Raw genomic sequence first — 22,404 nt, 5'->3', positions numbered from 1 at the left:
AATTAGCCAAAGGCTGGGAGGCTACATAGCTTACAGAGGGTCACAGAGTTAAGTAGAACTGAGATTAGAATCCAAAATTGGAGTCTAATATTTTTTTGCAGTGCCGGAGTTAATCTGTTCATGGTTTTCCGTATTTTAGTAGCACAATAACTTTTAAAGTGTTTTCAGGAAATTATCAAATGTGAATACATTGTTCTAACATAAATTTCTTTTATTGATTTAGGGAGATATAGGATTACCTGGCCCAAAGGGATCTGTAAGTATGGTGAATAGTAATGGTATAAAAAAATTAAAAACATTAATAAAGCTGTAGAATATATAATATTCTGCTTTATGAAATCATTATGTAACATTCAATTCTTTTTTTTTTTGAGATGGAGTCTCACTCTGTCGCCCAGGCGTGAATGCAGTGGTGCAATCTTGGCTCACTGCAACCTCTGCCTCCTGGGTTCAAGCAATTCTCCTGCCTTAGCCTCCCAAGTAGCTGGGATTACAGGCATGCACCACCATGCCCGGCTAATTTTTGTATTTTTAGTAGAGATGGGGTTTCACCATGTTGGTCAGACTGGTCTCGAATTCCTTACCTCAGGTGATCTGCCCACCTCAGCCTCCCAAAGTGCTGGGTTTACAGGTGTGAGCCACCACACCCGGCCAACACTCAACTCTTAAAGGACTTACTTTCATGGAAATAAATGTCTAAATTTGTACTTTAGGCAATGGATTAATCCAATAGAAAAATACCTCACCACTGTGTAAATGGATTTACCTTTTGAACTAACCACTGGAAAGGAAGTGTTTTTTTTCTTTCATATTGTAAATGACTCAATGAGTGTTACATGGTAATACTCTAATGTCCTCTCCAAATGGGTCATTTTTAAAGAACTGACTTGTGTTTTTTGTTGTCAACAGTATAACTAAATTTCATTGGCAGTTATACCATTGAAAAATATTTCAGTAATTGTCTTAATCTCTGATGTGTTCTAGTTGGGGAAGTAAGATAGAGGAATAATGCATAAGAAAATATAATAGCAAATTATTAGAAGTAGAAAACGATCTTGTTCATTTTTGTCATTTTTATAGAAACTAAACTGGTGTCCTTAGAGATTAGATGTATTCAGAATTATAGAATCACTTAGTAGGAAACCTGAGATGACTTGCTAATTGGAAAGGAATTCACATCTAAAACAATTAGGAATTTAAGAAAGGTTGAGGAGAAAAGATGAAGCTCAGACCTCAATCTCAAATGCCACTACTGCCAGCTTCCATAAGTTTCCAAGTCCTTCCTGTTTCCGGAATCTCCTCAACCCTTCTCTGTCCCTGTCCAGCATATTATCCTCATGGCAGCCAATGTCATCTAGATTTTTTAAAAAAATAAAACCCACTGTGTATCCCTCCTCTGTTTAAAACTCTTTAAGAATAAAATCAGATTCTTAGCGAGGTAAACAAAGCCTTTGATGAAGTGTTCTTTGCTCCACGAACCTCATCTCCTACATACCTAGAACTTCATCCATTTGCAGTTTCTTTTACATGCTGTTTAACACCTTGTTCTGGTCTCCTCTTCCTCTTTCCTTGGAATAGCTACTTCCTACTTAAGCATTTCGATCTATCCTCAGCTTCACTTTCTCCAGGAGGACCCAGTCAGACTTGGTTACAATGCCTAGCCTTGGGCTCTTTGCAAACCGCAGAGATGAATATTATTACATCGTATTAACTTACCTGCCTCTAAACACTATGTCTCAAGTTTCAAGTAACATTTTTATGCCTAAGAATTTTTAACAGAAATGGTTGAGGATTGAGAAAAATTTAGAGTAAACCTTGATTGAGTTTGGTAATAGAAATCCTACTTCACTATCTAGAAATAGTAATGTTCAATAGAAAGAATTCAAGCTGTAACAAAAGAAAAGTTAATGAACCATGCAGTGACAAGAATAAGTTAATTGCATTCAAATTTGCATATAGTATTAGGAATTAGCTCTTGATTCATCTCCTTCCCCACAAGTGTCTTACCTGACACTGCCCAGGTAATATGAGTGAAATTGAAGTCTACTGTCCCACAATCAGGGGAAATTGTTACTAACACAAAGACTTACACTTTCTTCATTGATTTCAGCATAGACAAAGTTGTGAAGTAGGCGATGTCTGTAACCTGATTTCTGTTTCAGTATACCACTCCTCAGTTGAGGAATTTTTTCCCAGAGACCCAGGGTCCTGGCCATATTGGCCCTTAATCTCTTCATTAGGAAGTTCCCAGCTCTTACTGTAGCAGTATTTCAGTCATTATCAGCAGGATTATACACTCTGTCGTGGTCTCCTTTGTTTTCTGTCAGTTCTTCAGTATATTTCTGAGTTCATTTTGTCTTCTCTTCTGGGTTCTTTTAGAAGTTGTTGGCAGGGCAAGGTGGCTCATGCCTGTAATCCCAGCACTTTGGGAGGCCGAGGTGGGCAGATCATCCAAGGTCAGGAGTTTGAGACCAGCCTGACCAACATGGAGAAACCTCATCTTTACTAAAAATACAAAAAGTTAGCCAGGTGTCATGGCGCACGCCTGTAATCCTAGCTACTCTGGAGGCTGAGGCAGGAGAATCGCTTGAACCTGGGAGGTGGAGGTTGTGGTGAGCCGAGATCACGCCATTGCACTCCAGCCTGGGCAACAAGAGCAAAACTCCATCTCAAAAAAAAAAAAAAAGAAGTTGTTACAGTTTTGCACCCTAGGCACCTGACAATGTTGCAGCCTTCTATGTAGGATACCTTTTCCTTGTCCTGCTGACAGTCTTTCAGGAAGTCTTTAAACCATAATTTCTTCATAGAAGCAATTTTGGCAAGTTGACTTAGATGAATATCAATTTCTTTTGCATAAAGCGAAATTGGAAAAGCACATTTGCTGAGCTTTATTTGGATGTATCTAGTAAAAGCATTGCTTCATCGCCTTCTTCAGTTTAAAGTATTTGTTTGAAAGAGCCAGCTTTTTCTAGATAAATGATGCATATGAAAAAGAAGCAGGATTAAATTGCTTTATAAACATTCATATCTTGAACACTAGCATTCCCTTGCTGCCTCGTGTTCTTTTATCTTCTCATTCTTATTCTGAACAGCAGCAGTACATTGGAGCTATTCTGCCACAAATTTTACCAGAGGAATTTAACAAATTTTTAGTTTAACAAAAAGTGAATTAATTTGGTCTCTTTTTAAAACATTTATCTTAGATGATTCTTTTAAATGCTTTTAGTGGTCTGCTTTCAGCTAAAAAAAAATCTAACTTGTATTTGCTTTTATGCTAAGGAAACACATGGTTTACTTTTAACTTCTTCAATATTTAGATTTTTTAACTTCCTTCATACTTAAGTAAGTTGTAACTTTCTTTGGTCAAGTTTTTTTTTTTTTTTTTTTTTTTTTTTTTGAGATGGAGTCTCGCTCTGTCACCCAGGCTGGAGTGCAGTGGTGCGATCTCGGCTGGCTGCAAACTCTGCCTCCTGGGTTCATGGCTTTCTCCTGCCTCAGCCTCCTGAGTAGCTGGGACTACAGGCATCCACCACTACGCCGGCTAATTTTTGGTATTTTTAGTAGAGAAGGGGTTTCACCGTGTTAGCCAGGATGGTCTCGATCTCCTGACCTCGTGATCCGCCCACCTGGGCCTCCCAAAGTGCTGGGATTACAGGCGTGAGCCACCGCACCTGGCCTGGTCAAGTATTTTAAATGCAGCATTTTAAATGTGGTATTTTAAGTGCATTGATTTAGTTTAGTAATTCCTGGATATACCTGGCATCTTCACATTCTCTAAAAAAAAAAGTTGTAAGGGCTAAATAACTTATGTTCTTGGAAATATCTTTATTTTATGCTTGCTGCATTTGTGATATGCAAAGTAACATATTTTGTAGGAATGCAGGGGCTTTTATGTAGCCAGAAAATGTTAACAAGCTTATTGAAAACTAAGTTCCTCTTAGAGAGTGGCTTAAAGTATGAAGAATGTAGTTTTTAAAAAATGTAGTATTCCAATAAACGTTTTGCAAGAATAACTATCCCCGAAAGAAAGATTATTATTATTATTATTATAATTTTTGAGACGGAGTCTTACTATGTTGCCCAGGCTGGAGTACAGTGGCACGATCTCCGCTTACTGCAACCTCCACCTCCTGGGTTCAAGCGATTCTCCTGCCTCAGCTTCCCAAGTAGGTGGGACAACAGGCATGCACCACCATGCCTGGCTAATTTTTGTATTTTTAGTAGAGACAGGGTTTCACCATATTGGCCAGCCTGGTCTCAAACTCTTGACCTCATGATCCACCCACATGGGCCTCCTACAAGCGCTGGGATTATAGGTGTAAGCCACCACACCCAGCCAAAAGAAAGATATATTGAAAGTTAACTTGAACTAGATTTCTAAAAGATGGGTAAGTTGTGTAGCATTATGTGTCTTCACCTTGCAGTGAAGGTTTTGTAACCTCTGAAAGAACACCTGTTAGGATGCAGAGTGCAGGAAACCGCAAATTTCATATAAGTGTTTATATGAGTATGAAGCAGGCACATTCTTTATGCTTAGCCCTGGTTTGATAGTGTGCAATTGTGTTCCAGGCAGGTAATCCTGGGGAACCTGGCTTGAGAGGGCCTGAGGGAAGTCGGGGGCTTCCTGGAGTGGAAGGACCAAGAGGACCACCTGGACCCCGGGGTGTGCAGGGAGAACAGGGTGCCACCGGCCTGCCTGGTGTCCAGGGCCCTCCGGTGAGTGGTGGGCAGCTTCTGTGGTTTCCCTTTGGAGACTCCATCCCACAGCAGCAGGGCTGTTCTAGGCATCAGCTTCTCAACAAGTTCTCTTGTAAATCCAGCCACCTGGCTCCTTGCAGAGTCTGTCAGTTTACAACTTAACAATGTTCTCTTTATGGTTTCATGCATAAACTGCCTTTTTTTCTTTTCTGTCCCAGGGTAGAGCACCGACAGATCAGCACATTAAGCAGGTTTGCATGAGAGTCATACAAGGTAAATAAATCACAATGGTTTGACTTTTTCCACCATCAACTCTTGTTTCTTAAGATTTTATTCTTGTAGATACACAAGGGTAAACAAGAGTGACTTTTTGTGTGCCTTAAAGATAGGACATTTAGGGTAATATTAATGCCAATTCTGTTTTTCCAACTATTGGCATCCACAATAGTATACAGCCCGTAGCCTCAATGTAAAATATTACTTTTCTGGTTATCCTGCCTTTTTTTTGTTTTGTTTTGTTTTTTTGCCATGGGGGCTAATTTATAACAAAGTGCACACACACACACACACACACACTTTTTTCCTTTGGAACACAAATTCTTAGTTGTCTCTCCCCTCCTTAAGACCCTACCACTTAGTGTGTACCTAGCACTGACCTAGGCTTTCTCTACATTTTGTGAGAAGTAAATGACAGACTCCATGCCCATAGGAAGCATAAGGACATTATCGCCATTCATGTACACATATGTAAAAACAATCAATAACCAGCATTTACCAAAATTATGACACATTTTCATACTTGTTAACCCTTATCAAAATTTACCTGTAGCTATGGCAATTGTTATTTGTTTCAGAATTGGTCTAGTTATAAAAACACACAGAAAATGAAGATGTGCAAAAGCACCCTATAGCTGAGGAGTTCTGTAACACTGAAGCCCATAGCTAGTTACAGTATTCTGGTGTAGCTAACTTTGTCATGAAGAGATACTCTTTTGTATGTTCACTAGACAGTCTAGTTTGTCTAGGAGACTTGAGAAGTTTTCCAGAACCAAATAGGAATGAAACATTCACTTCTATATTTGAAAAGCAATATAGGCCTCTTCATTGCAGACATTTTGTCCTGAAAGTCTATTTTAGTTTTAAACATATCTAAAAAATTATTATTCCATGCAAACTCTTACTTATATAAGCAAATTTAAAATACTCACATTTAAACAATTTAAAAATGTTGGGTAGAAATTTGTTTCCATTTCATATTCTCCTTTACCCTCTAAGTTTAAAAAATATTACATGAGAATATTTCCCTTAGAATGTTTTCATGGGGAGATTTTGTTGTAGGCCATGCCTTTAGTGGGTGATTCTGAATCTATTTAATGGTTCCTGAAAAAGCCCACACAGTTATTAATTTTTAAGACTAACTCTGACCATTCCCAAGAAACAAGTTATTTTTAATGTTTGTTGTCTATTTCAAGCGTGGAAAAAACTTCTGAGAAGGAGGGTTTATAAGAAGCTGTGACTCCTGGGGATATTTCAGTTTATATAATATCTTCAAACTAAGAATGTGAGGCGAGGTCTCAAATGGTGTCTGAATATTAATTCTGGACAATGTTCTTGGCTTTTAAAAACTGTCTGGACATCTGCTTCCACATATGTTAAGAAACTCATTTTTCTTCCCATCCTGGGTTTTCAGATACCCAGCAGGGATTCAGGTGACATCCTTCCAGAACATCGTTCACCCCAAAGCCTGTAGTTTAAGATTTTTGTGAATCCCACCCCCTGCTACCTCCCTCCCCGTGCCCTGACTCTGTCTCAGAACAACAGGACCAAATATATCCAGGGAGAGCTGCATCAAACAGCACCAGCGAAGCTTTCTGGCAGAAAGCCCACAGAGAAATTATCCAACTTTATTCATTTCTTACTACCAATTTTGAAGATCTGGTGACACATTTAGAAAAAAAGGCATTTGGAATACCTCTCTTTTCATTAGAATAACTTTTATGTTTCTGACACTTCTGGGTTGTTTTGTTTATTCTCTTTTAGAACATTTTGCTGAGATGGCTGCCAGTCTTAAGCGTCCAGACTCAGGTGCCACTGGGCTTCCTGGAAGGCCTGGCCCTCCTGGTCCCCCCGGCCCTCCTGGAGAGAATGGTTTCCCAGGCCAGATGGGAATTCGTGGCCTTCCGGGCATTAAGGGGCCCCCTGGTGCTCTTGGTTTGAGGGGACCTAAAGGTAAGTCATCTTGCCCATGTGGAACCAAAGAACACAACCTTTTTCAGATGTATAATCTGTATCAAGCTCGAGGAATTTATGTTTTACCAATTTCTGAATATCCAGTGAGATAAGATGTATTATTCTCTTTTCAATAGTGACGGTGAAGATTCAAAAACTGTTATATAATATTCCCTTGACCCTGCTCTACCACAACAGTAGACCAAATACTAGAATTAAAGTCCCGTGTCTTTTAGGACTGATCTTTTTCTATTATACTCTACCTCAATCATGGTTCAAAACAAAGATAATGGGATCTGGTAAACGATCATTCAGCTATTTTTTATTTATTTATTTATTTTTTGAGACCCTAAAGTCATTGTTGAGTTCCTCTAACATGGCAACCATCCTTAGGATATTTGTATTTGTTATTTAAACTAATAAAATTTGTTAACAGGATGTAAGAAAAATATGCATTAGAGCTGCCTCCCTCTTTTAAAACATGACATTGGATATTTAGTTTTGATGGATTTTTTTTTCAGCTCTGAAGTACAATCTAATTCCTTCTTTAGTATGTAAGATAGCTTGTTTCTTCCACTTTTATTTAAAGCAAGTTAAGCCCTTGCATCCAGGATTTTGCAGAAAAATGGGGCTATGAGTGTGTTAGGTACTCAGCAGGACTGGTGGAAGAACTGGCTGTCTCATTTGGAGTTTGCTAGTTGAGGGGAGTAAGTATATCAGCTTGGGGTGTATGTGCCCTGGATAATTTACAGAGAGGACTAAATAAAGTGAGTAGTTTCTATGTCATGATGAGTGACTGACAGCTTTCTGGAGAACTTCAGAAAGACGTGGCATCAGAAACAAGAGAGGGTTGTTTTTTTTTTTTTTAAGTACTGCGGTGCTCCAATTAGGGATAAATACTGTGGTATGAATGGTCAGATGGCAAGCAAGCTGCCTTTTTGGATCTATAAATGAACTGCTGATGCAGTTGGCTAACTAGACCTTCAGCTGGAACAATTTATTTAATTACATTTTTTTTTGGCGTGTTCAGAGCTTCATGTTAAAAAAATGGGGTCTAACTGAGACCTCTTATAAGGCTGGCATGAATTCAAAGCTTTGGGAGGCTAGACAAAATCAAATAGAGTACAGACTGAGGGTAGAGTTTTTCTTAAAGAGAACTGAACATTTTCTTTGAAAGAGTCACATACCTATTCATCTTTGTCCAGCTTTACTAGTTCAGGAGCTCATGCCTTAGGTGCTCTCTCTATGGTTAGTCTCAATTCACTCTGTAAATAATTTCTAAGAAACTCTACAGCCTTAGGTAGATTGTTGACTTCATTGGATCTGTTGTGCAAAAGCGGGTGGATCATGACGACCTGGCCTTTTCTGAGTTCACTTTAGGGAGTGGTTCTGAGAGAGCAGTCCCCGGAGCAGCGGAGTCACCAGGGACCTTGTTAGGAATGCAAATTCGCTGGTCCACACTGAGTCCACTGAATCAGAAACTCTGGGGTCGAGGTCTAGCTGTCTAGTTTAACAGGCCCTCCTGGTGGTTCTGCTGCACCTGGTGTGGAGCAATCGCCCATTTTCCTACTGAAAGGGAATGACTTATAGGGCCTATAGACATCACAGCCCTATTTTCTTTGGTTAACAGGAAGTCTCCTTGGGGCAGAGCTTAACTTTGTTTGAGCTAGTAACAGAACTCTTCTTTAAAAAATGAAAGCTAAGCTAGGACAGTCTAAAGCTGCCTTTGTCAGCCTTGCCTGCACACTGGAATTGCCTGAGGAGCTTAAAACCACTGATATCTGGATCCCATTCTCAGAGATTCTGATTTTATTGGCTTGGGCATTGGGATTTTAAAATATTCTCCAGGTGATTTTAATGTGCAGCCAGGGTTGAGAACCACTGGAAACAATGGTGAATAGTTTGGGGAAGCTTTAGCAACAGTGAATTGTGGCTAGGCTGGGTTGGGTTGGCTCTAGCAGATGAACCTCAGTTTGAAAGAAACAAAAGTAAATTTCTATATTTGGAACCTGGGAAATGGCTCTAGCACTAAGTTCGTTTGTCAAGTATAGCTTGATCATGTGAGGTATTTCCTCTTAATTTTTCTTCAGTATTCATGACATAATCTATAACATGAAGTGATACAATTCTTTTCCCTTTTCCAAAGGATTTTTTTTCTCCCTACCCTCCTCCATCCCTTTCTCGTTATCAGATTCCTTTAAAGCTGTATCTTCTCTTAGTTTAACTTCTGAGAATTTGGGGTGGAGGTAGGGAGCGGTAATTAAATTTTTAAAATCAATTAACACTGTCATACTTTTGGAAATGTATGATTTTAGGTAGCTGGATTTGATTCTTCTTGTCCCACCACATACATTAACAGGAGTATTTATTAGAAAACATATAGCTTTGTAATATCCAAGGGGTTACAGCTGAAATTTCCCTGAGCATAAACATTCCACCAATTTGAAACTTAAATTTTCAGTCAATTAGAGGAGAGATATATTTCAGTATTGCTTGCTGGCTTTTTTCCCCATCCCTGGTAAAGAAGGGATGGTATGAATCTTGCTCTACCATATGGTCACTTTGAGAGCCTTTTTCCAGAGAAACTGCTGCATAAATAACAAACAAGTTTTATTATGAATGCTTGAACAGTTCAGCCTATGTCTTAGTCACTGTTTTTCTCCTAGAAAATACTCTGAAGAACACAGTAGAACATTTTCAATAGGAACTAGTAGAAATATGCCTCAAATCATAGTCAAAGCTTAGGTTATATCTATAATTTTTCTGTTTTTCACTGACATGCTTTACACAATATTATACAAAATGTTAGGGCCCAGGCTTAAAACCTGAGAGATATCTAACTGGCCTTATATTCACTTTGCTTGGTATTACATTGGTCTTTTGTGTCATAAATATTAGTTTTAAATATTCACAGTTTGGATTAATTTTAAGTCCCTTTGAGTAAGGCTGTATATTTTTAGATATTTTAGTGTGAATCAAACAGACACTGCAATATGTAAATGAAGGTTTGAGAAAACACACATGTCATAATTATGACTAACACCTTTCTCAGTGATAATCTGTTTACATGGAGATAGAGCATCAATTATAGCTCATGAATAAATGAAATAAATAGCAACTATAGAGCAATGAGAATTTCCACTCGTTCATAATGAGCTGTTTTTCTGCTGAAGCTGTGTATTTTTCTTTATACCTTACCTAAAGCTTATTTTACAAGCTCTTTATGCATATTTTTTGACTGAGGAGGCTAACAAAGCTGGACCTTTAGTTCCCTAAGCTGGTTTTTGTACATCTCAAAATAAGACATGATCAGGGTTTGAAGTAATAGATTAACCTTGTCGATAGAACCAACCTGTATACATGGTTTGCTGTGGAGTAGCAGTTTGCAGAATAGGCTCTGTTTTGGAGCTCATCTTAAAACTTGTTTTTCTCTGACTGATAACCAAAAGACAGTATCACAACAAAGACACTGGTCTTAGTCCTCGAAGCAACATTAAAAGTTGGTGTGGCTTCATGCTAGAATGTACAAACAAGTTTAGCTTTTACTATCAGTGTAAAAGCCACACTTTAATTTATAATCTTCATCTCATATCTTCAGAAATGTGGCACATTTAGACAGTCTGTTCTCATTGCCAGCCTCCAGAATTATAGTGATATGACACTTAAATTACCAAGTTAACAAGAATGCTTATGCCATTAGTTTATAAGATGTTAATTGTCGTATCTTCCTAATATAGTAAGGCCATATTGATGATGAATGTTAAAAAAACTAGCTTATGTAAATATGAGTTCAACCTGAGTTCAATCCGTCATAGTATTTATATAAATTTAAATTGTTTTGAAATGTGATGAAATGTAGTTTATCATAAAAACATTCACATGAAGACATTCACAACTAAAATCAAAGTATGGTGACTAAATATTCACTTCAGAATTAGAGATCTTTGACTATCTGAGTGCAGATGGTTATACAGATATTTTTTCTGTTTTTGTTGTGTACATGACTTTGTTTTTAAAATTATAACAAATATGACTTAATATTGAATGAGGCTAAGCTGAAACAAATGTTTGGAAAAAAAATGGTATGTATAGAATTTATTGCAAGGTGCCATTGCATTTTCTAACAGCATAGTAGAATAATGATATACTACTGTACTACCGGAATAATGGGATAATGCCTTCAACAAAGAGCAGCAGACATCATTTAGGACCAGTTAACTAAGGAATTAATGCCTTTTGTTAATGAGGTCAAGTTGCTGGGTTTGGTATCTTCAGGGGCTGGGATAATTAATGCAACTTTGTTCTGTGGCTGCTAAATCCCCAATTTCAATCAACTGTCTTGTAAATGTCTTGCAAATCCACATGGTTGGTTGCAATCCAAAGTATGTTCCCTATAAACAATGAGTCAGTAGTGAAATGTAGACACTGTAACAACACACTTTATGTTTTTAAGATTGATTAATTTATATTTCATAATACTAAATTTATACAGTTCCAAAAATTAACAATGTATAAAAAAGATATTTAGTGAAGTTTCTCTCCTATCCCTGTCTCCCATCTGCCTAATTTCCTTTCTCCTTCCCACTAGGTAATCAATACTATTCTTTTCTTACATATCCTTACAAGCAATTCTATATAAGGATACATGAATATGTATTTTTTCTACATCCTTTTAAAAATGAATCATATTGTCCTTTAGCAAGTGTTCTGGAACTTGCCTTTTTCACTGAGCAGTATGCCATGGAGACCATTCCAAAGAGCTTCCTGGCTATTCTTCACAGCTGCATAGTGTTCTATTCTGTGGAAATTCTGTAATGTCTTTAACCTTTTAATGGACATAGATTGTTTCCAACCTTCTGCTATTATGGCAAGGCTGCAGTGAACAACATTGTACATATTTCATTTTTGTATTAAAAAGCAGCATACACTCCATCTTTATCTCTATGATAAATTCCTAGAAGTAGAACTGCTGGGTAAAAATTTTGATAGCTATTGTCAAATTAGCCTCCAATGGGATTGTACAAATTTATACTCTTATCAGCAATTCATAATAGTGCATATTCCACAGACTTGCTAGTATATCTTTAATTGAACTTTGGAATTTTTGCCGATCTTATAGGTTAAAATAGCATCCTTTTTTTTTTTTTTTTTTTTTTTTACAATTTGCATTTATTTTGTTATGAGAGTGAAGTCAGGGAATTTTTCATATATTTAAGAGCCATTTTTACTTCCTTTTAGTGGCCTGCCTGCTCATGTATTTTGGTCATTTTTTTGCTGTTGTGTTGTTGGCCTTTTTGTATTGATTTTAGGAACCCTTCATATTTTGAATCTTAATAAAAAGGCCAATCTGAGGTCATAATTCTCCCTTGTTTTCTTTTGATTCTTAACTTACAGTAAAATACTTGATCCATTTGTATTTTATCCTGGAATAGGGTGTGAGGTATAGATCTAACTTTTCTTTTCCAGTTGACTACCCACTTCTTCCAATACCATTTACTGAATTGTTCAACTTTTTCCCACTTTAAGACACCACCTTCATTATAAACCCAAATCCTGTATGTATTTGGGCCTACTTTTTGGGCTTTCTATTCTGTTTCACTGGTCTGAGTATTCAGGGAGCAACACCACACATTTTAGTTGATTTAATATCTGGTCAACTTAATTCCCTTCATGTTGCTTTTCTTTATGGAGTTTTTGTGGCTTACTCTGGCTTATGTGTTTTTCTATACAAACTTCAGGATCTTCTTTTCTGATAAAAAATGGGTTTGTATTTTTATTAAGATCATGATGAAAATTCAGCTTGGGGAGAACTGGCAATATTTTATGATGATATCATTTCTATTTAAGAATGATTTTCAAGTCTTCTGGTGTCCTTTAGAAATGTTAAACTTTTTGTCATGTTGGACTTGCCTATTTCTGATTAGTTTTATTCCTCGTTATTTAATATTTTAATTGTTATTATAAATGGTATCTTTTTTACTATGTCTTATTACTGGTTGTGTTAATATATATAAAATTTTAATTTCCATATATTAATTTTGTACCCTGCTAGTTGACTGAATGCCACTGTTTGTAATAGTTTTTGAGTTAACTTTCTAGAGTTTTAAGATATATATTCATATCTCCTGAAAATAGAGATAGTTTTAACTACTCAAACCAAAAGTTATATATTAGTGATAAAGTAGGCGTCTTTATATTGTTCTGATTGTAGTGGAACTAATTCTTGTGTTTCCCATTAAGCATAATGCTAGCTTTTGGGTTGAGATAGATATATTTTTCGTGTTTAGGAAGTGGCCATTGGTTCTTATTTTATTGAATGTTTTATCAAGAATGCATGTTCAATTTTGTCAAATGTCATTCCAGTATCTATGAATATAATAATTTGATTTTCCCCCCTTAGATCTATTAATAGATGAACTTGATTTTTGCCTTGCTACATACTCACTACAATCTAGTTTATGGCAATTTCATGACCTTTTGGTTTCTGAATTTTAGATTTGCTGAAAGTTTAAAGATGCGGAAGTTTATTTTTATAGATATGTAGAAAAATAACATTTCTTTAATGTAATGCAGGTGACTTGGGAGAAAAGGGGGAGCGTGGCCCTCCAGGAAGAGGTCCCAACGGTTTGCCTGGAGCTATAGGTCTCCCAGGTAAGTGTGTTGTATAGCTGAGAGGAGGAGGTAGCGAAATTGGTAGCAAGTACACAGCCTGAATTGAATAAAATTTTAAAATAATTGTTATTTGATCACTTAAGCATATTAATTATTCAGAATGGCTAGCATAGATTTTTCAAGACCAGCTTTAGTAAAGAATTAAATGATCTGTAAATCAAATCAGAAAATAGGTATCAGGACTTGAAATACTAATTTCCTTAAATAGATGCTTCAAGAAAAATAGTGTCAAGGTCCAGGCACAATGCACTTGTTATAAAATTCTGAATAAATTGGATCCTATCTATTTCTAAAGCAGGTGATAGTTTCCTGTTTTTTTTTTTAATCTAAAATGCCAGAGCAGTAGGAAGATTAGCCTGTTTTTAATCTCTTGCACAAGGAGTAACTGAAATTTTATTTTTAAAGCTCCCCTTTCAAACACCCAGACCCTCCAAAACCCCACATCCAAAAAGAAAGAAAGAAAGAAAATACAAAACTGAACATTCCTGCTCATAATCACTAAGAGCCACACATCACAGCTGTGTCAACTGAGGTGACAGGGTAGCCCTTGTGTGAAGGGCCCAGATTCTCTCACTGGGCCTTCTGTTCTCTTTATACACTGGCTACCCTGTCACCAGAGTCCAGGCTGGAACACACTTATCCCTTAGGAAATGACTTACAAGCCCAAGCACAGAGGCAACATAGCAGGGCCAAAAGCCAGTTCAGTTTAAGGGCATGAATGATGCGCAACTTTCCAGCAAACGCTCTCTTATTGTGGGGAGGCAGTGGCTTAGGAAGGCTCCCAAAGCCCTAGGGGTCTGTTGCTGAGGAGAGTTGAGATGATACTTGCTTCCACAATGGTTTGGGAAAACTTGGCTTAGGGAAGTTTAGGAAAAGAAATTACAATTTTCTAATTCTGCCAGAGGCTGATGTATTTAATCACAGCTATAATTGTAGCCAAAAACATCATTGCTTTCCAATTATCCATTTCATTGCTTCTGGGGATTGTGTTCTCATTAAAAAATTTTTTAAAAAAACATGAATGTTTGGAGATAACTCAAACACTGCCTTTCTAAAACTGATTCATGGGCTCATCAAAATGTTTTCACATATTGATAAATTTTTATAATTGGAAATGGAAGATTTATGATTAGTAATGAAAGGAAAATCTGGCTTAAATGGGATTTAGAGAAGATTTTAATATACGGTAAAGCTTGGATTCATTGATGGGTGTGTAGAGGAGAGGAAAAGGAAATAGAATTTACTAAAGGTGCCTGTCTCCATCACCAGTAGTAGGAATAGGAAGTTTTGAGGCTGACAACATACCATCATCACAATTTACTTAATTATCTATATATTTATGAGAAAGCCTAATAACTCCTTCTTCTCTCATTTTATTGACAAATCGCTTAACAGTTCTTGAACCAATGACTTGCACTATTGGCAACATTTTCCTTTATTGAAAATGTATTATGGTTTATAGGGATTCTCACTTTGAAAATAATCTGTTGGTAAGCCACAATTTAAATGTAAAGATGAGAAGATTGAGAAGATCAGCTCCATGTGTGCTGTGTCCCAGACTGTCAGAAGCACATTATCTCCCACCTGCAGTAAACCATTTTCAGGAGCCAAGTTGATGGGGGGCGCAAACGGGGCACACAGTCAGTCAGAGGGGCTTCCCCGACTTGCTTTTTAGAACATCAGACCATCCACGTGTAAGTAAATTGTGAGGCAGGACAAGATCATCATTTGCAGCCCTCCCTAGGATCGCTTACAAACAAAATTATTAATTTTAGCTGATCTTGGATTTAATCTTAAATCTGAATTGTTGAAACATTTTGTGGACCCCCTGATCCAGGGGACTCCTAATACCTGTCCTTTCTGTTTTCCTTTTCCTTTCTTCCTTTGGCCAGTCCTTGCCCCTGCTTTCCTGGGATCACCTCCAAAATCGTTGCCCTCCTCTGATCTCTCCCCTCCTCTCACTTTGCTCTCCCCATCAGCTCTGATTATCTCCCATCCTTCTCACCTCCCAGCTGACTCTTCTTTCTTGATTTCCTTGTCCTGGTTTCTATGTCTCAACCTCGGTAACCTTCCTTTTTTGGACTTTTGTTACCTTTTAATTGAGACGATATCTGACATTATTTAGTGACAAATCTGAGTTCCAGATTATTTTTCAGGAATATAGGCTAACTTTCAAAAGCACAGATGCCAGAGAAGAGGGGTCTGCTGGTGGATCGTTTTCTGCGCTTTGGCGCGGTGTCCTCGTGTAGTGCGCAGGTGAAAGCACCAGCTGAGGGCTTGGGTTTCGAGGTCGGCCCACATTCTCTTGTTGACACCGTGCATATGCTCAAGTCAGTCAAGTTCCTGACATGAGCTTTTTGGGTCATTCCTCCCTTAAAGCTAGTACCTGGAAGTGGGCTGTTTGAAGAGTGGCATCTACAATTCAGACATCCTAGGTTCACGTTTTGACTATGCCACTAACTAACTTTATGATATTGGGCATTTTACTTAATTTCTCTACACCTCAGTTTTCCCATTTATAAAACAGTGATAACAAGAACATCTCTCTGATAGGGTAATTCTGAGAAATAAAGAAACTCAATCCATGTAAATTGCTTAAGACAGTTCCTGGCTATAGTAGGCGCTCAAGAAATGTTGGTTGTTCATACTATTATTAATATATCAAGTCCACTTTTTGCTTTTTAAGGTGGATCAAGGAAAGCTGAGGGCAAAGTTGGGCCCCAGTTCAGCCCCTGCAGCTTTTTTCTCTTGCCGTTGATCAGCAGTAATATATTACTCTTCTCTAAATCAGCACCGCCCCTGATGCCCAGACCTTCCCTCCATGAAAGTCTACTTCAACTCCAAATCACAAATGCGAAGTACTGGGTAGCAGTACATCTTTTCACTGGTTAATTGTCCACTGAGGCTATACTGCTTTTTATTTCTTGGTAGAGCTTGAATGTGACTAGGAATGTGATTTCTGATCTCTCAAAAACATAATATTAATAGGACTTTAAGGCCTGATGAAACTTCAAAAGGATTCTGTGCAGTAATTTGTCTGGAACCGTCTAGATAAAAAAATTCTTTTCTTACCTAAAATAAAGAAACTGCAGAACAGCATAGTCTGCAACCTTCTTTGTTGTTCCTGTTGTTGGATTTGGGGCTCAAATCCTCCTGAATAAAAAAAAAAAAGATAGTTGGATCATTCTTTGTGCTAAGGCATTTAACATATTTTTAACGATGTAACTAATATCATCATTTTCTATCGGTTGTTAGAGTTCCTGTATTCTTTCTGGACAGTTTTAGTTCCCTGTCTCCCCTCTCCAATGCTGTATCTCTGTTTGTTCAGTGTTAAGTATTACATGCCCTGCAGGGACATAATGCTCATTGCTTGTTATGGAACACAGGTTATTATTATAACCTTTACATTGATGATCATTTTGGCTACAGTGCTTTGTTGTTTAAAAAGTACACATGCACAATCTAGTTTGTTTCTCACAGCCAGGAGTAGGCTGGGTGAATATTTAAGAAGTGCAGACATGGAGCCAGGCTGCCAGGGCTTATGCACTATTCTTTTACCTTGAAGTGCTTCAGTTTCCTCTTCAGTGAATGGGAATCACTATGCCTACCTTGTATTTAGAGCATATATGCACATGTTAATACATGTAAAGCTCTTGGAACAGTGCCTGGCATATGGCAAACAGACACTCTGACATTATTTAGTGAAATTTAACTGTTATTATTGTTGCTCCCTTTTTTTATAATATATTTGAGAAAATACAGACTCTTAAATTCATGTCCTGACAAAAGTCTGTCAGGTAATAACAAGACAGATATTCATGCTTCCTGAGTCTATGTTCCCAAAGTGGACAGAATGATTGGCTGGCTGTCTAATCATACGATTAGTTTTTCTTTGCAACCTAGACATGTGAATTGAGCATGTCCCATAATTGCTGAGTGTCTCGCTTCTTTCTCTGCCTCTCTTGCAGAGCTACGTGGATCACATTAGCAATCCCTGGAACTTTAGTCTCCCCCGCCTTCAGTTTTGTGCCACAGGTCAGCTAGTGTTATTGCTTGGTCGGTTGTCTCAAAGACTCTCTCTGCTGCCACCAAACTTGCCCATTGGGACTAGTTCCTCGTCACTCTGAGAATTTTAAAGGAACATATTTATTAATAATAAAGAGTCCTGACTTCCTCTTTGTGCACTCACTAGGGCAAAACATAAATTAAATGACAAATCATTTGAATGTGAACACTAGGAAGGTGACTTGTGAGCTAAGGTGCTTTTTGCCTCTTGGACATGGAAGTTGTAGCTGGCTTTGTGCTGGACTATGCTAGGTTATAAGAGTATTTGGTTTTCTTGTGCAAAGTCCACAGAAAGGTGAGCTTTGCTTGAGACTATTGAGTGGAAAAATACACACGCACACATTCAGTTCTGGGCTAAGTTTTTCAGTACCTAATTTTTCCATTTCCATTGCTGCAGCTGTTTTATTTGGTTGCTGGGCCTTACATAAACCAGTTTATAATTCCTTAAACATATACTGCTTTGTCAAATACCACAACATTAAGCTCAAGAAATATAAGAAACTCCTGGTACATACAAAAAGTCTACATAACCAGTGGATTAATTATGAAATACCCTATTTAATGTGAAAATTATTCACTTTTTTTGTTTTGACTGTATACACAGTCCCTTTTACGCCACAGCATGTATTAGGTGAGGGGCTGCCTCCAGAATGATCCAGCCGAGATGGGCTTCCATCAGTGTAACATGACTACCCTCTAGTGGTTTTATAGAGAATGACATAGCTATTCATTTGTTTAAAAAAAAAACGTTTAGCAATAATTTTAAATATTTTATTTTATTTTAATTGACATATAATAGTTATACATATTTATGGGATATGTAGTAATGTTTCAATAGAAATATTACATAATGACCAGATTAGGGTAATTAGTATATCCATCATCTCAAACATTTATCATTTCTTTGTATTGGGAATATTCAACATATTTATAGGTCCTTGACATTTCAGAAAACCATGTAATCATTAGGCAGTTAGTGTAAGTAATACACACATGAGGCAGGCAGAGCAGAATAACACTTTAGATGCATGTTTTCTCTTTCTGAAGAGTTACAAAGCAGTTGATAGATATTCATGAATGTAGCTGCTGGGCTAACCATTTATGCCCATTTTGTGAACCGTTATTATGAGTCAGCTTCACTTTTTGAGTGATGTGGACTGTGGACATAGTGTCACCCAACTGAGGCTCCCACATAGTTTAGAACATACATGAGAGCAAAGGCCCTGGGTCAGGGCTTTCCAGAGCCTGACAATCTGCTATGTTAAGGCTGTTTTTTTTTCTCTGGTATTTCTACAGGGCAAAACCTCAGAGAAATATCTTAGTTTCTTATGATCATTAGAGCTCTGCAAAAGTCAATACTGTGCTTTGTTTTTGTACCTCTGTCTACTTCCTGGTCAACTCAGGCCCAAGGAATTAAAAAAAATGACCACACACACACACACACACACACACACACCCTGCCACACCCCTCCACACCCTTCCACAGAGTTAAAAAAATCAATAGGTAGGAAAATACAGTTAGTGCAGTGGTTAAGGGTCCTCATTTCTGGCTATATGACTATGGACAATTATTTGACCTTCCTAACTCTCAGTTTATGCATGAGAAAAATGGGCTCAATAATGAGCATAGTGTATGCCCATGGAAAAGAGAAAGCATTCTCATTAAGCATTTGTGGTGATGATGATGATGATGATGATGATGATGACATCATCAAAAGCTCCAAAGGGTAAATTGCTGCATTTGCCAAAGGCAGAACTGGATGAGATGCATGCTTCATAAAATAAATCAAGGGTAGACAGGATGGCTTCATCGACTCTTCCTTCAGAGGATAAGCAGCAATTTGGAATAAACTCAGCAAGGTAAAAAAGAAAAAGAAAAACTTCTCCTGAAGTGTGTTGATGGGGAACCAAATGTGAAAATCTAAAAAGCTATCCTTCTGCTTTTTAATATTGTTAGTGTATTAGAGAATAAATTACTTAAAACTTAAGGTTTTTGGCTGGCTCTACAAATGTTGAAAAAAATTTGAATTAGTTGCTAACATTTAAACATTGGGAGATATTTATTTAAAGACTCAGCTTCCTGGCCTCTCTTGAAAATTATCAGAAGTTCTGGCAACACTGGCCTGTATTCCCCGATGACAGCTGTTAGCTGGAGAAGAGCTGCTGCCCGCATCCACTTTCCAGCTCACCACAGGCCTCACTCCTCCCTTTGGTCTCCCCAACACTTACGTGGAATATTAGTGGCCAAATTTCATTGCATTTGTACTTTACGTTTTCATCTGGTAAAAACAGTGGGGGAATTTCTTAATCCAGGCTTGTTTCTTTATAACATCAGGGATCAGCAAACTTTATTTGTGAAGGATCAGATTATTTGGCTATGGGCACCATATTGCAGCTATTTAACTCTGCCCTGGTACGCCAAAGCAGCCACAGACAATATGTAAACAAATGACCATGGTCGTGTTCTAATAAAACTACAAAAACAAGATTTAGCTCATGAGCTGAAGTTTGCCCACCCCTGATCTCAATGACCATCCCAGCCCCTGTGCTCATTTGGTTTTCTACCTCTTCTTTGGGCATTTCCTTCTCCTAAACTTGATTTGATTTTAAGGCACACCTGGTATGTCTCAGTGGGAACATTCCTAGTGATAAGGTGCATGAAAATCGGATTTAGATCTGGCTCATCTTTTAAACCTTAAAAAAATCAACTTCACCTTTAACTGCATCTGGTGTTAAGGATCTTAACAGGTGCTGCTAAGGGCATAGTTCTGCTACAGCTTTATCTATAGATGCTGTGGATTAGGGAGAAGCTTTCTCAGGGACCTCATCATTAAAAGAAAACACATAATGATCTGCTTCATACTTACTAGGTATAGTTGAATGAAAGTATATGGGATAAATTAGGGAAAATTACTTATATCTCTGCTTATCTATAGCTTTGAGATGGATAAATTCAAAGATAATTATTCTCCCTTAAAACTTATTAATATATTGCCCTATGACATTGCTTTGTGTGGATCGAAGTGTATGCACCAGAGGAAGAATGAGATGTTATGTAAAGCAGGATCTCTAACCTACCTTCCTTCTAAAAATATGTGAGATATATATGAATAAGACCATATTACTACAGTAAGACCAACAAAAGACATATAAAAAGACAACTGAAATAGAAAAAGAAAAGTAAAAACCACAGAGAAAGAAGGAGAGTAACCAAATATAAGCAAATATGTAGTTGAACATGTAGATTTGGCTTCCGGCTTTTTGGCTGAAAGACCAGGTTAAGATGGCTGAGATGGAATGAGGATCCCTATATTATTTTGGCATACACAATTTGTTTTACACTGACTTCTCATCACCACTTTTGCAATAATTGTGTGAAAGTGCTGCTAGTGCACTGGGGTAAACATTCAGCAGAAATTCCTCTTTGTTATGGGGTGCTGTGCCTCAGAGAGTGTGCCCCATTGAGGGCAACATACAACCCTTAAACACGACAAAAGGAAGACAAGCAAGAAATGTCCCCCAGAGAACCTGCTATTGCAAAGTTCATGTTGGGGTCAGCCCTTCATGAGAAAAATATGAAAATTTGTAGGGCACATGGCACAGCCTTCTAAAAGACATTAATCAATAATATCTTAATAATTGTAATAATAGCCCCTATTTATCAGGTGCTTCCAATTGTAGAATTATTATTATTATTATTTTTAAGACGAAGTCTTGTTCTATCGCCCAGGCTGGAGTGCAGTGGCGCGATCTCGGCTCACTGCAACCTCTGCCTCCCGGGTGCAAGTAATTCTCCTGCCTCAGCCTCCTGAGTAGCTAGGACTACAGGCATACACCACCATACCTGGCTAATTTTTTTGTATTTTTAGTAGAAATGAGGTTTCACCATTTTGGCCAGGCTGATCTCAAACTCCTGACCTCAGGTGATCTGCCCACCTTGGCTTCCCAAAGTGCTGGGATTACAGGCATGAGCCACTGCACCTGGCCTGAATTTAATTATTAGGAAGACATTATCCCATCTTGTAGATGAAGAAACTGAGAGATTAGTGACTTGCTAATGTCACATTTTTCATAAATGATAGGGCTAGAATGTAAAGCTATTTGTCTCCAAAACCTGTGTTTTTAACCGCTAAACTATACTTCTCCCTGCCCGGATGTTGCTCAACTCTTAGAAGTAAGGAATACTGCTACTTGCATTCAAAAGAAATATAATGTGAGCCACAAATGTGAGTTGCATGTATGATTTTAAATCAAGTAGCCACATGAAAAAGGTAAAAATAATCAAGTGACATTAATTTTAATAATATAGTTTACTTAACCCACTGTGTGCAAAAGATCATTTCATCATGTAATAGACACAAAAATTATTAATGAACTATTTTACATTTTTTCATATCAAGTCTTTAAAATCCAGGTGTGTTTGATCCTTAGTTCATCTCCATTTGGCCTCATCACATTTCAGCTCTCAATAGGCACCTGTGGCTGGAGGCTACCATGGTGCACGGTGCAGCTCTACTGATGGAAATGGGGGTTAGAGACACTGAGGTCTCTTTCTGCTTTTAATTTCCATGAAAACCCAAGTCCAAGGAAGGGATCTTATTATCATCATCATCATCATCATCACCAATCATCACCAGTCATCATCCATCGCTTCCAAAAGCGTTTGTTAAACCCCTTATCTGAGCGCTGCTGAGCCATGCCCTCTGCCAGTTTGCATCAATGAGGATTCTCCTGTTCACA

The 22,404-nt window shown here is 37.7% G+C and overlaps 1 protein-coding gene across 10 annotated transcripts in view; it reads left to right on the top strand.

Annotated features, from left to right (window-relative positions):
- Positions 1–22,404, top strand: part of COL9A1 (collagen type IX alpha 1 chain) — an 88,024-nt gene that overhangs the window by 63,575 nt on the left and 2,045 nt on the right. For 9 of the 10 annotated variants that reach the window (NR_165185.1, XM_011535429.4, XM_017010246.3 and 6 more), the window contains 5 exons: positions 224–256; positions 4,570–4,716; positions 4,917–4,971; positions 6,739–6,927; positions 13,501–13,578. Coding sequence is in view for 9 of the 10 variants with exons in the window: in XM_011535429.4 (XP_011533731.1) it covers positions 224–256; positions 4,570–4,716; positions 4,917–4,971; positions 6,739–6,927; positions 13,501–13,578 (502 nt within the window). In the remaining variant the exon portion in view is untranslated. The remainder of the gene's footprint in view (positions 1–223; positions 257–4,569; positions 4,717–4,916; positions 4,972–6,738; positions 6,928–13,500; positions 13,579–22,404) is intronic. The other variant, NM_001377290.1, reaches the window with a different exon arrangement.

This window comes from Homo sapiens, chromosome 6, assembly GCF_000001405.40.
Source record: "Homo sapiens chromosome 6, GRCh38.p14 Primary Assembly".
In the NCBI taxonomy this organism is placed as follows: Eukaryota; Metazoa; Chordata; class Mammalia; order Primates; family Hominidae; genus Homo; species Homo sapiens.
This window is presented reverse-complemented; position numbering and strand designations above follow the sequence as displayed.